At 50.6% G+C, this 14120-nt stretch overlaps 1 protein-coding gene across 5 annotated transcripts in view, besides 1 other annotated feature; it reads left to right on the top strand.

The window, feature by feature from the left end:
* MED24 (mediator complex subunit 24) overlaps positions 1 to 14120 on the top strand; it is a 35305-nt gene that overhangs the window by 12261 nt on the left and 8924 nt on the right. For 2 of the 5 annotated variants that reach the window (NM_001267797.2, NM_001079518.2), the window contains exons 4-13: positions 6353 to 6426; positions 6799 to 7031; positions 8692 to 8803; positions 8942 to 9092; positions 9386 to 9499; positions 10058 to 10105; positions 10528 to 10610; positions 10903 to 10989; positions 12289 to 12400; positions 13180 to 13322. In NM_001267797.2, the coding sequence (NP_001254726.1) occupies positions 6353 to 6426; positions 6799 to 7031; positions 8692 to 8803; positions 8942 to 9092; positions 9386 to 9499; positions 10058 to 10105; positions 10528 to 10610; positions 10903 to 10989; positions 12289 to 12400; positions 13180 to 13322 (1157 nt within the window). Of the gene's footprint in view, positions 1 to 5993; positions 6033 to 6352; positions 6427 to 6798; positions 7032 to 7175; positions 7233 to 8691; positions 8804 to 8941; positions 9093 to 9385; positions 9500 to 10057; positions 10106 to 10527; positions 10611 to 10902; positions 10990 to 12288; positions 12401 to 13179; positions 13323 to 14120 lie in introns of all 5 variants that reach the window. The other 3 variants (NM_001330211.2, NM_014815.4, NR_052017.2) reach the window with 3 other exon arrangements.
* Positions 5679 to 6546: an enhancer, noted in NCBI's record as "H3K27ac-H3K4me1 hESC enhancer chr17:38191855-38192722 (GRCh37/hg19 assembly coordinates)". NCBI's record gives its function as "activates a minimal SCP1, AML or CMV promoter by ChIP-STARR-seq in naive H9 embryonic stem cells {active_cell/tissue: H9 hESC(naive)}" and the evidence as "EXISTENCE:reporter gene assay evidence [ECO:0000049][PMID:30033119]".

Here is a 14120-nt window from a genome sequence, read left to right as displayed (position 1 = left end):
ATCACTCTGGTTATAGTTTGAAGAACGAGTTGGAGGGAGGTAAGACAGAAGATGGGGATATCATTGAGTCTGGCATATTTTGTCTTTAAAGGACCCAGATAGTAAGTATTTTCAGCTTTGCAGACTGAATGGTCTCTCTCATCACTATTCTGTCATTACAGCTCAAAAATAGGTATAGCCCATCTGTAAACAAATGGGTATAGCTGTGTTCTAATAAAATTTGATTAAGAAAAATAGTGATGAGCCAAATTGGACTTGCAGACTGTAGTTTTCCAACCCCTGATTTAGGCTCTTGCTGTAATTCAGGCGAGAAATGATACTAGCACAAAATTGGGAAGTGGCAGCAGAAAAAAATGATGAATTTAAGAACAGTTTAGGAAGTGGCATTGAAACAATTTGATTAATGGGACGAGCAGAGTGAGAGAGGAGAAGGGGTCAAGGATAACGCTTAGGTTTCTGGTTTGGACATTAGATAGCTGATGGATCATGAGACAGTGGAAGAGCAGAGTAGGGTTGGGATGTGGGTGAGGATACATGTTTGATCTTGGCCTTTTAAATTTAAGAAGACTGTGGGGTATCAAAAAGAGGATACTCGGTAGGCAGTTGAACATACGTGTCTGGTACTCAAAAGGAGAGTTCTAGACTGGAGCTTTTGGTTTAGAAGTCACCAGCTACTGATGGTAATCAAAGCTATGGGCATGGATGAGATTGTGCAGAGACAGCAGGGAGAGTGAGCAAAGAAGTGACTAAACCCAACTTCCTGAGGAACCAATCTCATTTAAGGAACACACTTAGGAGGATAATTCCTCATAGGAGTCTGAAGAGAAGGGGCCAGAGAGTAGGGAAGAAAAGTGAGAGTGTTATCAAGAAAAGCCAAGAGAGGATTGAGGGGTGAGGGAATGTTTCAAGGGGTCAGATGCTGCTGGGAAGTCAGGTAAGATCAGAACAGAGAAGGATCCATTAGGTTTAACATGAAGAGTTTGTCAATGACCTTAATGAGAAGATTCATAGAGTGGTCAGGACAGAAGTGATTGGAGTGCGTTGAATAGTCAATGGAAGGTGTGCAGGTAGAGCCAGGGAGTGTAGAAGACTCTTATGTTGTCCGGGCGTGGTGGCTCACACCTGTAATCCCAGCACTTTTTGAGGCCGAGGTAGGAGGATCACTTGAGGCCAGGAGTTTGAGCCCAGCCTAGACAACATAGACCCTATCTCTACTAAAAAAGTAAAATTAAAAAGGCCGGGTTCAGTGGCTCACACCTGTAATCCCAGCACTTTGGGAGGCCAAGGGAGTGGATCATGAGGTCAGGAGTTCAAGACCAGCCTGGCCAACATGGCGAAACTCTGTCTCTACTAATACAAAAATAAGCTGGATGTGGTGGTGCATGCCTGTAATCCCAGCTACTCAGGTGGCTGAGGCAGGAGAATTGCTTGAACCTGGGAGGTGGAGGTTGCAGTGAGCCGAGATCGCGCTACTGCACTCCAGCCTGGGCAACAGAGTGAGAATCTGTCTCAAAAAAAAAAAAGAAAATAAAATTAAAAAAAAAAACTTTTATATGTGTGAAGAGTAGCAGAGATGGGGTGGTGGTTAAATGGAAGTGTGGGGTCTATAGGAAACTCTTTTAAAAATAGAAGAATCTAGGCCAGGCTCATACCTGTAATCCCAGGAATTTGGGAGGCCAGTGTGGGTGGGCAACTCACTTGACCAGGAATTTGAGACCACCCTTGACAACACGGCAAAACCCCATCTCTGCAAAAAATACGAAAGTCAGGCAGCTGGGCACAGTGGCTCACGCTTGTAATCCCAGCACTTTGGGAGGCCGAGGCAGGTGGATCATGAGGTCAGGAGTTCGAGACCAGCCTGGCCAACAGAGTGAAACTCCATCTCTACTAAAAATACCAAAATTAGCCGGGCATGGTGGCGCGTGCCTGTAGTCCCAGCTACTCGGGAGGCTGAGGCAGAAGAATCGCTTGAACCCAGGAGGCAGAGGTTGCAGTGAGCCGAGATTGTGCCACTGCACTCCAGCCTGGGCAACAGAGTGAGACTCTGTCTCAAAAAAAGAAAATTAGCCTGGCATGGTGGCTCACACCTGTAATCCCAGCACTTTGGGAGGCCGAGGTGGGCAGATCACGAGGTCAGGAGATCGTGACCATCCTGGCTAACATGGTGAAACCCCGCTTCTACTAAGAATACAAAAAATTAGCCGGGCGTGGTGGTGGGTGCCTGTAGTCCCAGCTACTCGGGAGGCTGAGGCAGGAGAATGGTGTGAACTCGGGAGGCAGAGCTTGCAGTGAGCTGAGATCTCGCCGCTGCACTCCAGCCTGGGCGAGAGAGCAAGACTCCATCTCAAAAAAAAAAAAAAAAAAAATTAAGCATGGTGGTGTGCACCTGTAGTCCCAGCTACTTAGGAGGCTGAGGTGGGAGGATTGCTTGAATCCGGGAGCACCACTGCACTCCAGCCTGGGTGACAGAGCGAGACCCTGTCTCAAACAACAAACAGACCAATAGAAGAGTCTTGAGATGTATAAACACTGATGGGAAAGGGAAGAAAGAGAAAGAGGCTGAAGTAACAGAAGTAAATAGATATGAAAGACCTTTGTGCCCTCTCAAGTGCTGTGCAAAATTAGTAATTTATTCTTCCTTCAGAGTCAAGAGGCTCTTTGGCCCAATGTTATGCGAGTAGAGGGCACTTAGGAGTAGTTGGGGTGTTGAATATTCAGAAGAGCAGAGAGGATTTGAGAGCAGCTGCAGGGTCAGGTGGGGCTAGCCACAAGCATGGTGGCCACACAGAGGGTCTCCTGCCCTGGGGGCCTGTGGTGGTTTAGAGCTTCTACTGTGATAGAATGATTAAGACTTGAATAGGCCAGATCCTGCTGTGTAAAACAGTTCGTCATGTAGAAAGCATTTTTGGGTCTCTGAAGTAGCCGTGCTTTATTGATACAGTTAGCAGAAATCTGCTGAACAGAATTCAGAATTTGAAGACCATAAATTCATTTTGACGAATGGCATCCCTCGGAACATGCATAATTGGGGGTTTCTCTCCCGGCATTTGAGGGTCAGTGTTCAGTGGGGACATCCAGCTCCCCCTGCAGGTTGGTATCCAGCAAGGTTCACTTCTTTGCCAAGCACTCGCTATGGGGACATCAGTTATAAATAAACAAAACGCTCGCCGGAACGTTATGGTCATCCTGCCCAGGCAGGCTCCCAGCTTTCTGATGGATATCAGACACTAGCCCTGGCCTCACAGTATGGTGGTTCTGAACACTGATGGTATTTAAGCCCTCTGTGTTTTGCTCCTGTTCACCCAGGAGTACTAGTGAAAGATGGCTGAACAGAGCAGTGTATTTTGGTGAGAGGGAAATTGCACATGGATGGAAAGTTTGCCAAACCCAGGTGATTGAGCAGACGGCTTTCTTCCTCTCCTTTTTTTTTTTTTTTTTGAGATGGAGTCTTGCTCTGTCATCAGGCTGGAGTGCAGTGGTGCGATCTTGGCTCTCTGCAACCACTGCCTCCTGGGTTCAAGCGATTCTCCTGCCTCAGCCTCCTGAGTAGCTGGGATTACAGGCATGCGCCACCACGCCCGGCTAGTTTTTGTATTTTTAGCAGAGACGGGGTTTCACCATGTTGGCCAGGATGGTCTTGATCTCTTGACCCCGTGATCCACCCTCCTTGGCCTCCCAAAGTTCTGGGATTACAGGCGTGAGCGACTGCACCCGGCCGACAGCTTTCTTCTTAAATCTTTGGAGGCTTCCACTCCTCCAGCAGAGACAGCTGAACTAGATATCCAGTCTTATGATGGTGATGAATAGGTTTTACTAACAGAAATTTATTTTAAGGTAAGATTTTTCCAGAAGGCAACTAGTTAGTAGAATTCATCTGTTCAAAGCAATAAAAACTTCCTGAGGACCTATTGTGTATCAGTTCTTGGGCTGGATGCTAGAGAAACAGATATAAATTCAATACCATCTCTGTCCTCTGGGAACTTACTGTTCAGGTAGAATTTCCCAAAATGTATTTTGGAAATACTGGGTACATGAAATTCCTTGGTCAAGTAAGTTTAAAGGATATTGCTTTGTTTTATCGTCAGTCTTCTTAGAGATTCTCATTGTATACGAGTATATCATGGTTCCGAGAAGTTCTGTGGTAAAGTTCTCGTTATATGTTTAATCCAGTGTTTCTCAAATTTATGTCACACACAAGCTCAGGGTATGTGTGTGACATTTCTTTTTTTTTTTTTTTGAGACAGAGTCTAGCTCTGTCGCCCACACTGGAGTGCAGTGGCGCAATCTCGGCTCACTGCAAGCTCTGCCTCCCGGGTTCACGCCATTCTCCTGCCTCAGCCTCCCTAGTAGCTGGGACTATAGGCACCCGCCACCATGCCCGGCTAATTTTTTGTATTATTAGTAGAGACGGGGTTTCACCGTGTCAGCCAGGATGGTCTTGATCTCTTGACCTCATGATCCTCCCGCCTTGGCCTCCCAAAGTGCTGGGATTACAGGCGTGAGCCACCACACCTGGCCAAATTTTATTTAACTTTAATTAATTTAAATTTAAATAACCATATGGGGCTAGTGACTTGTGTATTGGGTAGGGCAGCTTTGGAAGCTACTTTGAGACATGCTGAGCTAAAGGTGTTTTTATTTATTCATTCTACAAACATCAAGTTTGTGGTGGTCACTGAGTAAAAGCATCCTTGTCCTCAAGGAGCTTCTAATTTAGTGGGGACTGCAGGCACCCGCCGTGTAATGATGAGCCTTAGGTGATTACTTGGAGCACAGAGGAAGGGTTTCAGCTTTGTGGGGGAGGTTGGGGTTGATCAGGGAAGGTGTCCTGGATGGGTCCTAGGGAGTAAGTTCTGGAGAACAAATAAGAGTTTGTACAGTAAAACTTACTCTTTCCTTCTTTCCTTCTTTCCTTCCTTCCTTCCTTCCTTCCCTCTTTCTCTCTCTCTCCCTCCCTTTCTTTTCTTTTGACAGAGTCTCACTCTGTCACCCAGGTTAGAGTGCGGTGGCAAGATTTCGTCTCACTGCAACATCCGTCTCCCAGGCTCAAGCAGCTCTCCTGCCTCAGCCTCCCAAGTAGCTGAGATTACAGGCATAGGCCACCAGGCCCAGCTAATTTTTGTATTTTTAGTAGAGACAGGGTTTCACCATGTTGGCCAGGCTAGTCTTGAACTCCTGACCTCAGGTAATCCTGCCTCAGCCTCCCAAAGTACTGGGATTACAAACGTGAGCCACCACGCCCAGCCACTCCCTGTTTCAAGGTGCAGGTACTACCTGCTCAGTGCAGGAAATGTTTGTTTGTCTCTAGTTCTTACCCATTAAAACCTCTGTTCTTGCCGGAAGCTGTAGGAATACAGTGACATGGCTTCACTCTTGCCCATGCTTCTGCCCACTAGCCGTCAGTTAACCCATGCTTATTGAGGACAGTGAGTAGCAGGCGCTTTTTTTTTTTTTTTTTTTTGAGACAGAGTCTCGCTCTGCTCCCAGTCTGGACTGCAGTGGCACAATCTCGGCTCACTGCAACCTCCAACTCCCTGATTCAAGCGATTCTCCTACCTCAGCCTCCTGAGTAGCTGGGATTATAGGCACGCACCACCACACCCAGCTAATTTTTAATTTTTAGTAGAGACGGGGTTTCACCATGTTGGGCGGGATGGTCTCAAACTCCTCACCTCGTGATCCGCCCGCCTCGGCCTCCCAAAGTTTTGGGATTACAGGCATGAGCCACCATGCTCGGCCTGAAACATGGAGCCTTTGAGCATCCCCAGAATCATCTTCTTGATGGGCTTATGCTGATACCATTTGCAGTAAGTCTGACAGAGGCAGGAACAGGGCAGTGCACAGTGACACTGCCTCTCCTTGCTTGGGTTGAAGAGGGCCTGTGGAAGGGGTTGAGGTTCAGGAGAGCTGCAGCAACTTGAAGCATCAGTGTTTGTTCCTCTCAACTGTGGGAGACTAGTTGTCTAAAGATTATCTTTCTTCCTTCTCTCCAGATGGTGTCCTACTCTTCTGTCCTCACAGCCATCAGTAAGGTATGACCATAGACACTCAGGAGCTAGATTGGGGATGACAGACAAGGCCCCGCCTCCTTGACGGCCCTGATGCTGTGACCCGTGAGGCTGGATAGGCAGCACATGATGCCTCTGGCTGGCATTGCTGGACTTCCATGGGAGGGGGATCCTGGCAAGTAGGGGCTGGTGCTTGGGAGCCAATGTCCAGTGTTGAGGATGCTGAGTCTGGAACCCAGGGTTGGAGGAGAGAGGAGCAGGAGTCCTGAATGCACCGTCTGCCTCATGTGAGACCTGGGGGTGGATGGAGGCATTCCGTAGCATCTCCACTGTCCTTTCCACAGTTTGATGACTTTTCTCGGGACCTGTGTGTCCAGGCATTGCTGGACATCATGGACATGTTTTGTGACCGTCTGAGGTAAGGGCAGGGGTAAGGGGGCTCACAATACAATGTTCCAGCCTTGTCTTTGTGCAGAGGTGCAGCTCCTAGCACACAGACCGAGACCAACTCCGGGTTCCAACGTTTTTTCTCCCCACCTGCCCATCTACACTTACCTGTGCCCTCCTTTTCTTACTCCCTTAGGACAGAGTGCCTCCTCTCTGTCTGGAGTAGCTCATTTGAAATCTTGTCCAGTAGGAGCCAAAGGGGCTAAGCATCTTCCCCAGGACTTTGCTAGCTTCTCAGCCCTAGTCCCTAGTAGGGGAGTGCCAGGGACTCTGGGGAACATTGATGTGGGTCGGATTTCAGCCATTGGAAGAACAGAGTCTGATTTTGCATCCTTCCCTGTAGCTGTCACGGCAAAGCAGAGGAATGCATCGGACTGTGCCGAGCCCTTCTTAGCGCCCTCCACTGGCTGCTGCGCTGCACGGCAGCCTCTGCAGAGCGGCTGCGGGAGGGGCTGGAGGCCGGCACTCCAGCCGCTGGGGAGAAGCAGCTTGCCATGTGCCTTCAGCGCCTGGAGAAAACCCTCAGCAGCACCAAGAACCGGGCCCTGCTGCACATCGCCAAACTAGAGGAGGCCTGTATGTCCCTTGATTCCCCTGAGCCCCACCTGCCGCTGCTCCCATAGCCGGTCCTTTAATTGAGAAGGGAGAGGCAGGATGCCATCCCACCTCTTTCCAGGAGGATCTGAAACCATCCCACTTCCTTTTTTTTCTCCCCATAAGCATTGCACACATCCCAGGGACTTGGGCAGGGTGGCACCCGAGCCAATCAACCAACAGGTATTTACTGAGCATTGTTGTATACCCAGCACTGTGCTAGGTGCTGGGGGTGGGGGGTGGGGGGCTACCAAAGGAGCATGTGGCAGGGTCCCTGCCCTCATCAAGCATAGCTGCTAGTGGGTAGCAAGACTAGTACATCACAGACGAGGAAAAAACTAGAGGACAAGACAAGCACAGTGTCCATTATTGTGTTTGTCTCCATGTTACTCATCGCTTGGAAGCAGATGACTCTTGTATTTGAATGTTACCTAAAATGCCCCTTTTAACACAGTGCCTGTCTGCTGTTGGGCCTGTTGTACCATATGCCTCTTGACTCAAGTTCAGATGTTAAGTTTGGGTACTTTCCAGAGCCTGAGAACAGACAGATCACCTGGCGGGAGGGAAGATGCCAGTATTTCCAGCAATGGGGTCCTAAGGCCATAGTCTTGCTCCTTGAAGCCCAAGTGGCTTGGGACCACCTACAGGTCTCTTGTTCTCCAGGAACAAGAATGCTAGAATGGGCTACTCTCGAGGCTTCAGGACCTGGTTGGAGAGCTTGTTTTAGGACTAGTATATTTATTTCTTCCCCAAGTATGTTTTACTGCCTGTGAAAAGTCCAAAAAGACAATCTTTATATAAAAATGGACTGTGTTGACAGCCTCTTCCCTACCTTGGGCCCTTGATAAATGTTTATTGGCTGAAAATCGGATGAATACTGAATTTTAATGGATCTCAGGTCTTGTCTTTTTTTCCCCCTTTTATGCTCCATGGAGGTTAATGGGCTAGTTGGTGCCATTATTCATCATTTGACCCTCTGGAATTGTAACTAGGATAAGTAACTTATAGTTCAGTGCTAACCAATATGGCTTAGACCATGAGTGTGGGCATTAAGGAGAGAACAGTGAGTTAGACCAGTCGGGTGAGTTGCTAAAGGAACTGGGGCTTGAACAGAAGCTTAGAGCATGGTGGGAGTTTGAGAGAGAGTGTGTAAGAGGCCTTCAGCAGGGGAGGGCAGCAAACGCAATGCCTAGATGAGGGAGTGGTTGAGAATGAGAAAGCCATTTAGGGACCCAGTTCCCCCAGAGGAGAGTGACAGCCTCTGCAAGACTGGACTTTGGGATCCGCTCACTCCTCGAGTGATTTGTGGCCGCCCTCCCTGTTCCAGCCACTGGATTCTGGCCTCCCTCTGCCTCTCTCTCCTGAGCCTGTGTGATGCCATACCTTCTGAAGTCAGCTGGCTGTGTCCCCTGGAAATCAGGCTTTTGGGAATGGTCTCTGGGGTTTCCAGCTCTAGGTGCCCACCCCCCTTCTGGAAACAGTGCATGCTGCCCTCAGGCCCCTCCCTCCCTGTTGTCCTCAGGGGAAGCCTTCCTGTGTGGTTTCGTGTGCCGGAGGGAGTGCCAAAATCGAGGAGTTCAGGGCCAGGTGCTCCTTCTCTCCTGTTTCCCATCATGTTTCTGTACTTCCTTCCCTCTGCCAGCTTCTTGGACTGCCATCGAGCATTCTCTCTTGAAACTTGGAGAGATCCTGGCCAATCTCAGCAACCCGCAGCTCCGGAGTCAGGCCGAGCAGTGTGGCACCCTCATTAGGAGGTACCGGCTCCCTGGGGGATGGTGGAGAAGGGAGAGGGAGGACACGCCCTGGGGTAGGAAGATGTGGCACCCGTGCCATCCTCTCCGCCTTCACCTTTGGCCCCCCAAACACCGTCCCCTGTGTTTGTGACCCCTCAGCATCCCCACGATGCTGTCTGTGCATGCGGAGCAGATGCACAAGACCGGCTTCCCCACTGTCCACGCCGTGATCCTGCTCGAGGGCACCATGAACCTGACAGGCGAGACGCAGTCCCTGGTGGAGCAGCTGACGATGGTGAAGCGCATGCAGGTGGGAGGGGCCGAGTGGCTCTCCCTTCTCCAAGGCAGGCCAGCCTGTTGGGGGCAGGAGGGAGGATTCTTCTGGTTCTCCCTGGGAGAAGTGGGGTTTCTCCTGCTCCATGATGGAAAGTGGGTGCCAGTCGTGCACACTTCTGTCATTGGACCTTACTCCCCTGGTTCTCAGCACATAGCTGAGCAGTGACTCTGCCATGCAGTCTCTGACCCAGCCAAATCCTCAGAGTCCACAGAAGGGTGACGGGGTATGGGCACCCTCTTAGGCCTCATCCTTGGCTCTTCCCACAGCATATCCCCACCCCACTTTTTGTCCTGGAGATCTGGAAAGCTTGCTTCGTGGGGCTCATTGAGTCTCCCGAGGGTACGGAGGAGCTCAAGTGGACAGCTTTCACTTTCCTCAAGGTACTGGGGACGTGGGAGGGGCAGAGCCAGTCTAGGAATGGTTCTTAGCAAGACCAGTGGCACCCTGGACCTTTGCCCTGTGTTCCTCCCTGCGGGCACTGGGCCCAGCCTGCCAGGTATTCCAGTGCAAGTTCCCATTGATCATTTTCTCTGAAAGTGCCAGGGCTATATTTAGCCCATTTGGCAGACTCCGTTGTTTCTTACCACAGAGGTGCAGTTTAGCTTGGTCATCAGACAGATAGGTGCAGGGCAGTAAAGGGAGCCAGGGAAAGGGGCCCCAGTCCTCCTTGAAGCTGGGGATCCACTTTTGCTTATGGCATCTTTTTCTGTTGAGCTAGCGGAGGTGCAGGGTGCTTGTGTCCTGTGCCTAGGCCTGGGGGCATCAGGGGCCTGGGCACCTATTGGCTTTCTCATTTAGCACTAAGTGTGCTCTCACTCCCAGGGTAGGAGTGTTCCTGTCTCTCTTCCTGGAGCAGGGGTTCGGGGGGATGCCTTCAGGGGTAGATGAAAGAGAAAAGAAATGGATCTTCCTGTTTTTCCCCCTGCCTCACCCCCTAGATTCCACAGGTTTTGGTGAAGTTGAAGAAGTACTCTCATGGAGACAAGGTGAGTTGGGGATTGAGATGGAGGCATGGGAGCAGAAATAAGGGCAAAGGGGAGGGTCCTTCAGGCCCCAGCTGGGCAGTGTTCTCATGCCTGGAAGAGAGCCGGATGTGAGTGTACACCTCAGCGTGCACGTGCTTCACAATGTGCATGCTTCAGCATGTGCGTGTGCTTCAGCATGTGCGTGTGCTTCAGTGTGTGCGTGCTTCAGTGTGTGTGTTTCAGCGTGTGTGTGCTTCAGCGTGTACGTGTGCTTCAGCCAGTGTGTGTGCTTCAGCGTCTGCGTGCACCCACAACATACACCCAGGCTCCAGGCAGAAAGCAGCCAGGCAACTCAGGCCGATGCCTCCAGCAGACAAGGTTGCCTGAGATGATCAGGGCCTGGTGGCCCTGGAAACCAGATGGACACTTCTGCCTCTTTCTAGGACTTCACTGAGGATGTCAACTGTGCTTTTGAGTTCCTGCTGAAGCTCACCCCCTTGTTGGACAAAGCTGACCAGCGCTGCAAGTATGAGCTCCCCTGGTCACCCCCGCCCTACTGGAAGGCGTTCTGGGCTCTTCCCCTGATCTCTGTGCCAGAGAAGCCTCAGGGGACTCTGTCTCCTTGTTCACTCCCCTTGGCAGGGGCAGGAAATAGGAGCCCACAGTTGCCAAGTCCCCAGAGCCCCTCTACCGTCCCTCAGGCACTCCAGATTTTCCTCATCCTGAAAGAGGGAGGATGCTGCTCAGGGACCTGCCACTCCCACCCCTCACCATCCTATCCAGGTGCCCAGTTCCCTCAGCATCTTTCTCCCTCACAGCTGTGACTGTACAAACTTCCTGCTCCAAGAATGTGGCAAGCAGGGGCTTCTGTCTGAGGCCAGCGTCAACAACCTTATGGCTAAGCGGTAAGTGTGAACGCACCTGTGCTACCCCAAGAGCCCCTTGACCTCTCTCTTGTTACGGTGGGGCTGCTGCGTGCCTTTCAACCTCCTGTCGAAAGTTTGGGCTGCAAGTGACTGGGACCGTGCCTGGGGGTACAGGGAACAGGAAGGAAAAGAAAGCACAGATGTCTTCAGACCAGAGTTTTACACTCTTAGTCACTGCTCTTTAACTCATACCCATCTTTGTGATAAAAGTAAAAATCCTAGGCTGGAGGCGGGTGGATTACTTGGAGGCCAGGAGTTCAAGACCAGCCTGCCCAACATGGCAAAACCCCATGTCTACTAAAAATACAAAAATCAGCTGGGCGTGGTGGTGTGTGCCTGTAATCTCAGCTACTCTGGAGGCTGAGGCACGAGAATTGCTTGAACCCAGGAGGCGGAGATTGTGGTGAGGCGAAATCATGCCACTGCACCCCAGCCTGGGCGATAGAGTGAGACCTTGTCTCAAAAAAAAAATAAATAAATAAATAAAAATCCTGAATCTTCCTTTAATCTTAAATGTGCTTTCAGAGCATTTAAGACTAATGATAGGCCGGCTGCGGTGGCTCACACCTGTAATCCCAGCATTTGGGAGGCCAAGGCGGGTGGATCACGAGGTCAGGAGTTTGAGACCAGCCTGGCCAACGTGGTGAAACCCCATCTCTACTAAAAATACAAAAATTAATCAGGCGCGATGGTATGCACCTGTAATTCCAGCTACTCAGGAGGCTGAGGCAGGAGAATCACTTGAACCCGGAAAGCAGAGGTTGTACTGAGCTGAGATCGCGCCACTGCATTCCAGCCTGGGTGACAGAGCGAGACTCTGTCTCAAAAAAAAAAAAGACTAATGATAAATTGCCAGGTGTGCTGGCTCACCTGTAATCCCAGGACTTTGGGAAGCCAAGGTGGGTGGATCACCTGAGGTCAGGAGTTTGAGACCAGTAGAACATGGTGAAACCCCGTCTCTACTAAAAATACAAAAAAGTAGCCAGGCGTGGTGGTGAGCGCCCAGCTACTCTGGAGGCAGAGGCTGCAGTGAGCCGAGATCGTGCCACTGTACTCCAGCCTGGGCAACAGAGTGAGACCTGTCTCAAAAAAAAAGACTAATGCTAAATCAGTGATTGCAACATTGACTATGCTTCCATAAACTTCACCCCAACCTCGGAGGTTCTTACATGCTTCCCACCTCCTCTGCGCATTTCCTTCCGGGCTTGAACGAGGGAACGTGTCAAGAATTTCTCTTCATTCCTCTTCCCTTCCTTGGCCAACTGGTGATGTCCACAGCAAAGCGGACCGAGAGCACGCACCCCAGCAGAAATCGGGAGAGAATGCCAACATCCAGCCCAACATCCAGCTGATCCTCCGGGCGGAGCCCACTGTCACAAACATCCTCAAGGTGAGTGTGCCCTTCCCTGGCCACCACAGTCTTCTCTTTCTTCTTTCCAGTGCTCCATCTGCTTGCAGATAAATAAACAGAGGCCACAGACCTCTGTCTCCTTTAGCTTTTATACATAGTTGCTTTGGAGGTAGTGAAAGGGGAGGCAAGGGCAGCTACCACTGAATGCTAACCCGTGGGAGCTTCATTTGTACACCAGGCACTGCAGTAGGCGCTTTCACTTAGGCCATCTCACATGGAAACAACAGAGACGTGGGTGCGGTGGCTCACGCCTGTAATCCCAGCATTTTGGGAGGCTGAGGTGGGAAGATCCCTTGAGGTCAGGAGTTTGAGACCAGCTTGGCCAGCGTGGTGAAACCCAGTCTCTACTAAAAACACAAAATTCACTGGGTGTGGTGGTGCATGCCTGTAATCCCAGTTACTTGGGAGGCTGAGGCAGGAGAATCGCTGAACCCTGGGGGGCAGAGGTTGCAGTGAGCCAAGATCGCACCACTGCACTCCAGCCTCAGCGATAGAGCGAGACTCTGTCTAAAAAAGGAAAGGACAGAGAAGATCCTAGCCGTGACCTTGCCCACTCCAACCTTACCACCTGCATGCCAGTGTAGATGAGAGGGATGGATCGGAGAGCAGGGGTGGGTTTTAGGAATGATTTTCCAGATTGAAGTCAGAAAGATGTAGATTACATTCCAGGTTGTGAAGAGAGAAAATGTGGCTAGGCTGTATCTTGGGTGGGGGGTCTTCAGTGTTCTTCAGGACTTGATTTCCTGTCCTGTCCCCAGACGATGGATGCAGACCACTCTAAGTCACCGGAGGGACTGCTGGGAGTCCTGGGCCACATGCTGTCCGGGAAGAGTCTGGACTTGCTGCTGGCTGCCGCCGCCGCCACTGGAAAGCTGAAATCCTTCGCCCGGAAATTCATCAAGTGAGGAAGGCCAAGCCCCTGACCCCAGGGCGTGCAGGGAGGCTGCGCGTTGGGAGGAGGTAGCAGGGTAGGAGTCAGGTGCCTGGGTCTGGGTCTCATCCAGAGACCCACGGGCCTAGGCAGAGCATCCTGGCTGGAGATCTTGGAGGAAGGGCCTGTTCTCACGACCTAAGTGTTCCTTTCTCTTCAGCTGAGGATGGAGTGGACATGTTTGGTAAAGAGATGAGGGTAAGGGTTGAGGTGTTGAACATTGGGCATGGAGGAATTCCAAGTATGCCCAGTTATTAATAAGGGGCTCTCAAATTCTGTTGCCTTTTTTGATTGCCCTGGAATTTGACATATATAGAACATGGTTCCATTCAGTGAGCCATTCTCTAGGCCTTGGAAATCTTCTAACAATAAAAATCCTTCTGGCCGGGTGCGGTGGCTCACGCCTGTAATCCTAGCACTTAGGGAGGCCAAGGTGGGCGGATCACCTGAGGTCAGGAGTTCAAGACCGGCCTGGCCAACTTGGTGAAACCCTGTCTCTACTAAAAATACAAAAAATTAGCCGGGTGTGGTGGCGGGCACCTGTAATCCCAGCTACTTGGGAGACTGAGGCAGAAGAATTGCTTGAACAGAGGCGGAGGTTGCAGTGAGCTGAGATTGTGCCACTGCACTCCAGCCTGGGTGACAGAGCGAGACTCTTTCTCAAAAAAAACAAAAAAAAAACAAAAAACAAAAACCACAAAAACCTTTTTTCTATAGCAATGTGTCTCATTTTAAGTTTAACCAGTAACTCAGACTCTAGCTATCGCT

This window comes from Homo sapiens, chromosome 17, assembly GCF_000001405.40.
Source record: "Homo sapiens chromosome 17, GRCh38.p14 Primary Assembly".
NCBI lineage: Eukaryota > Metazoa > Chordata > Mammalia > Primates > Hominidae > Homo > Homo sapiens.
This window is presented reverse-complemented; position numbering and strand designations above follow the sequence as displayed.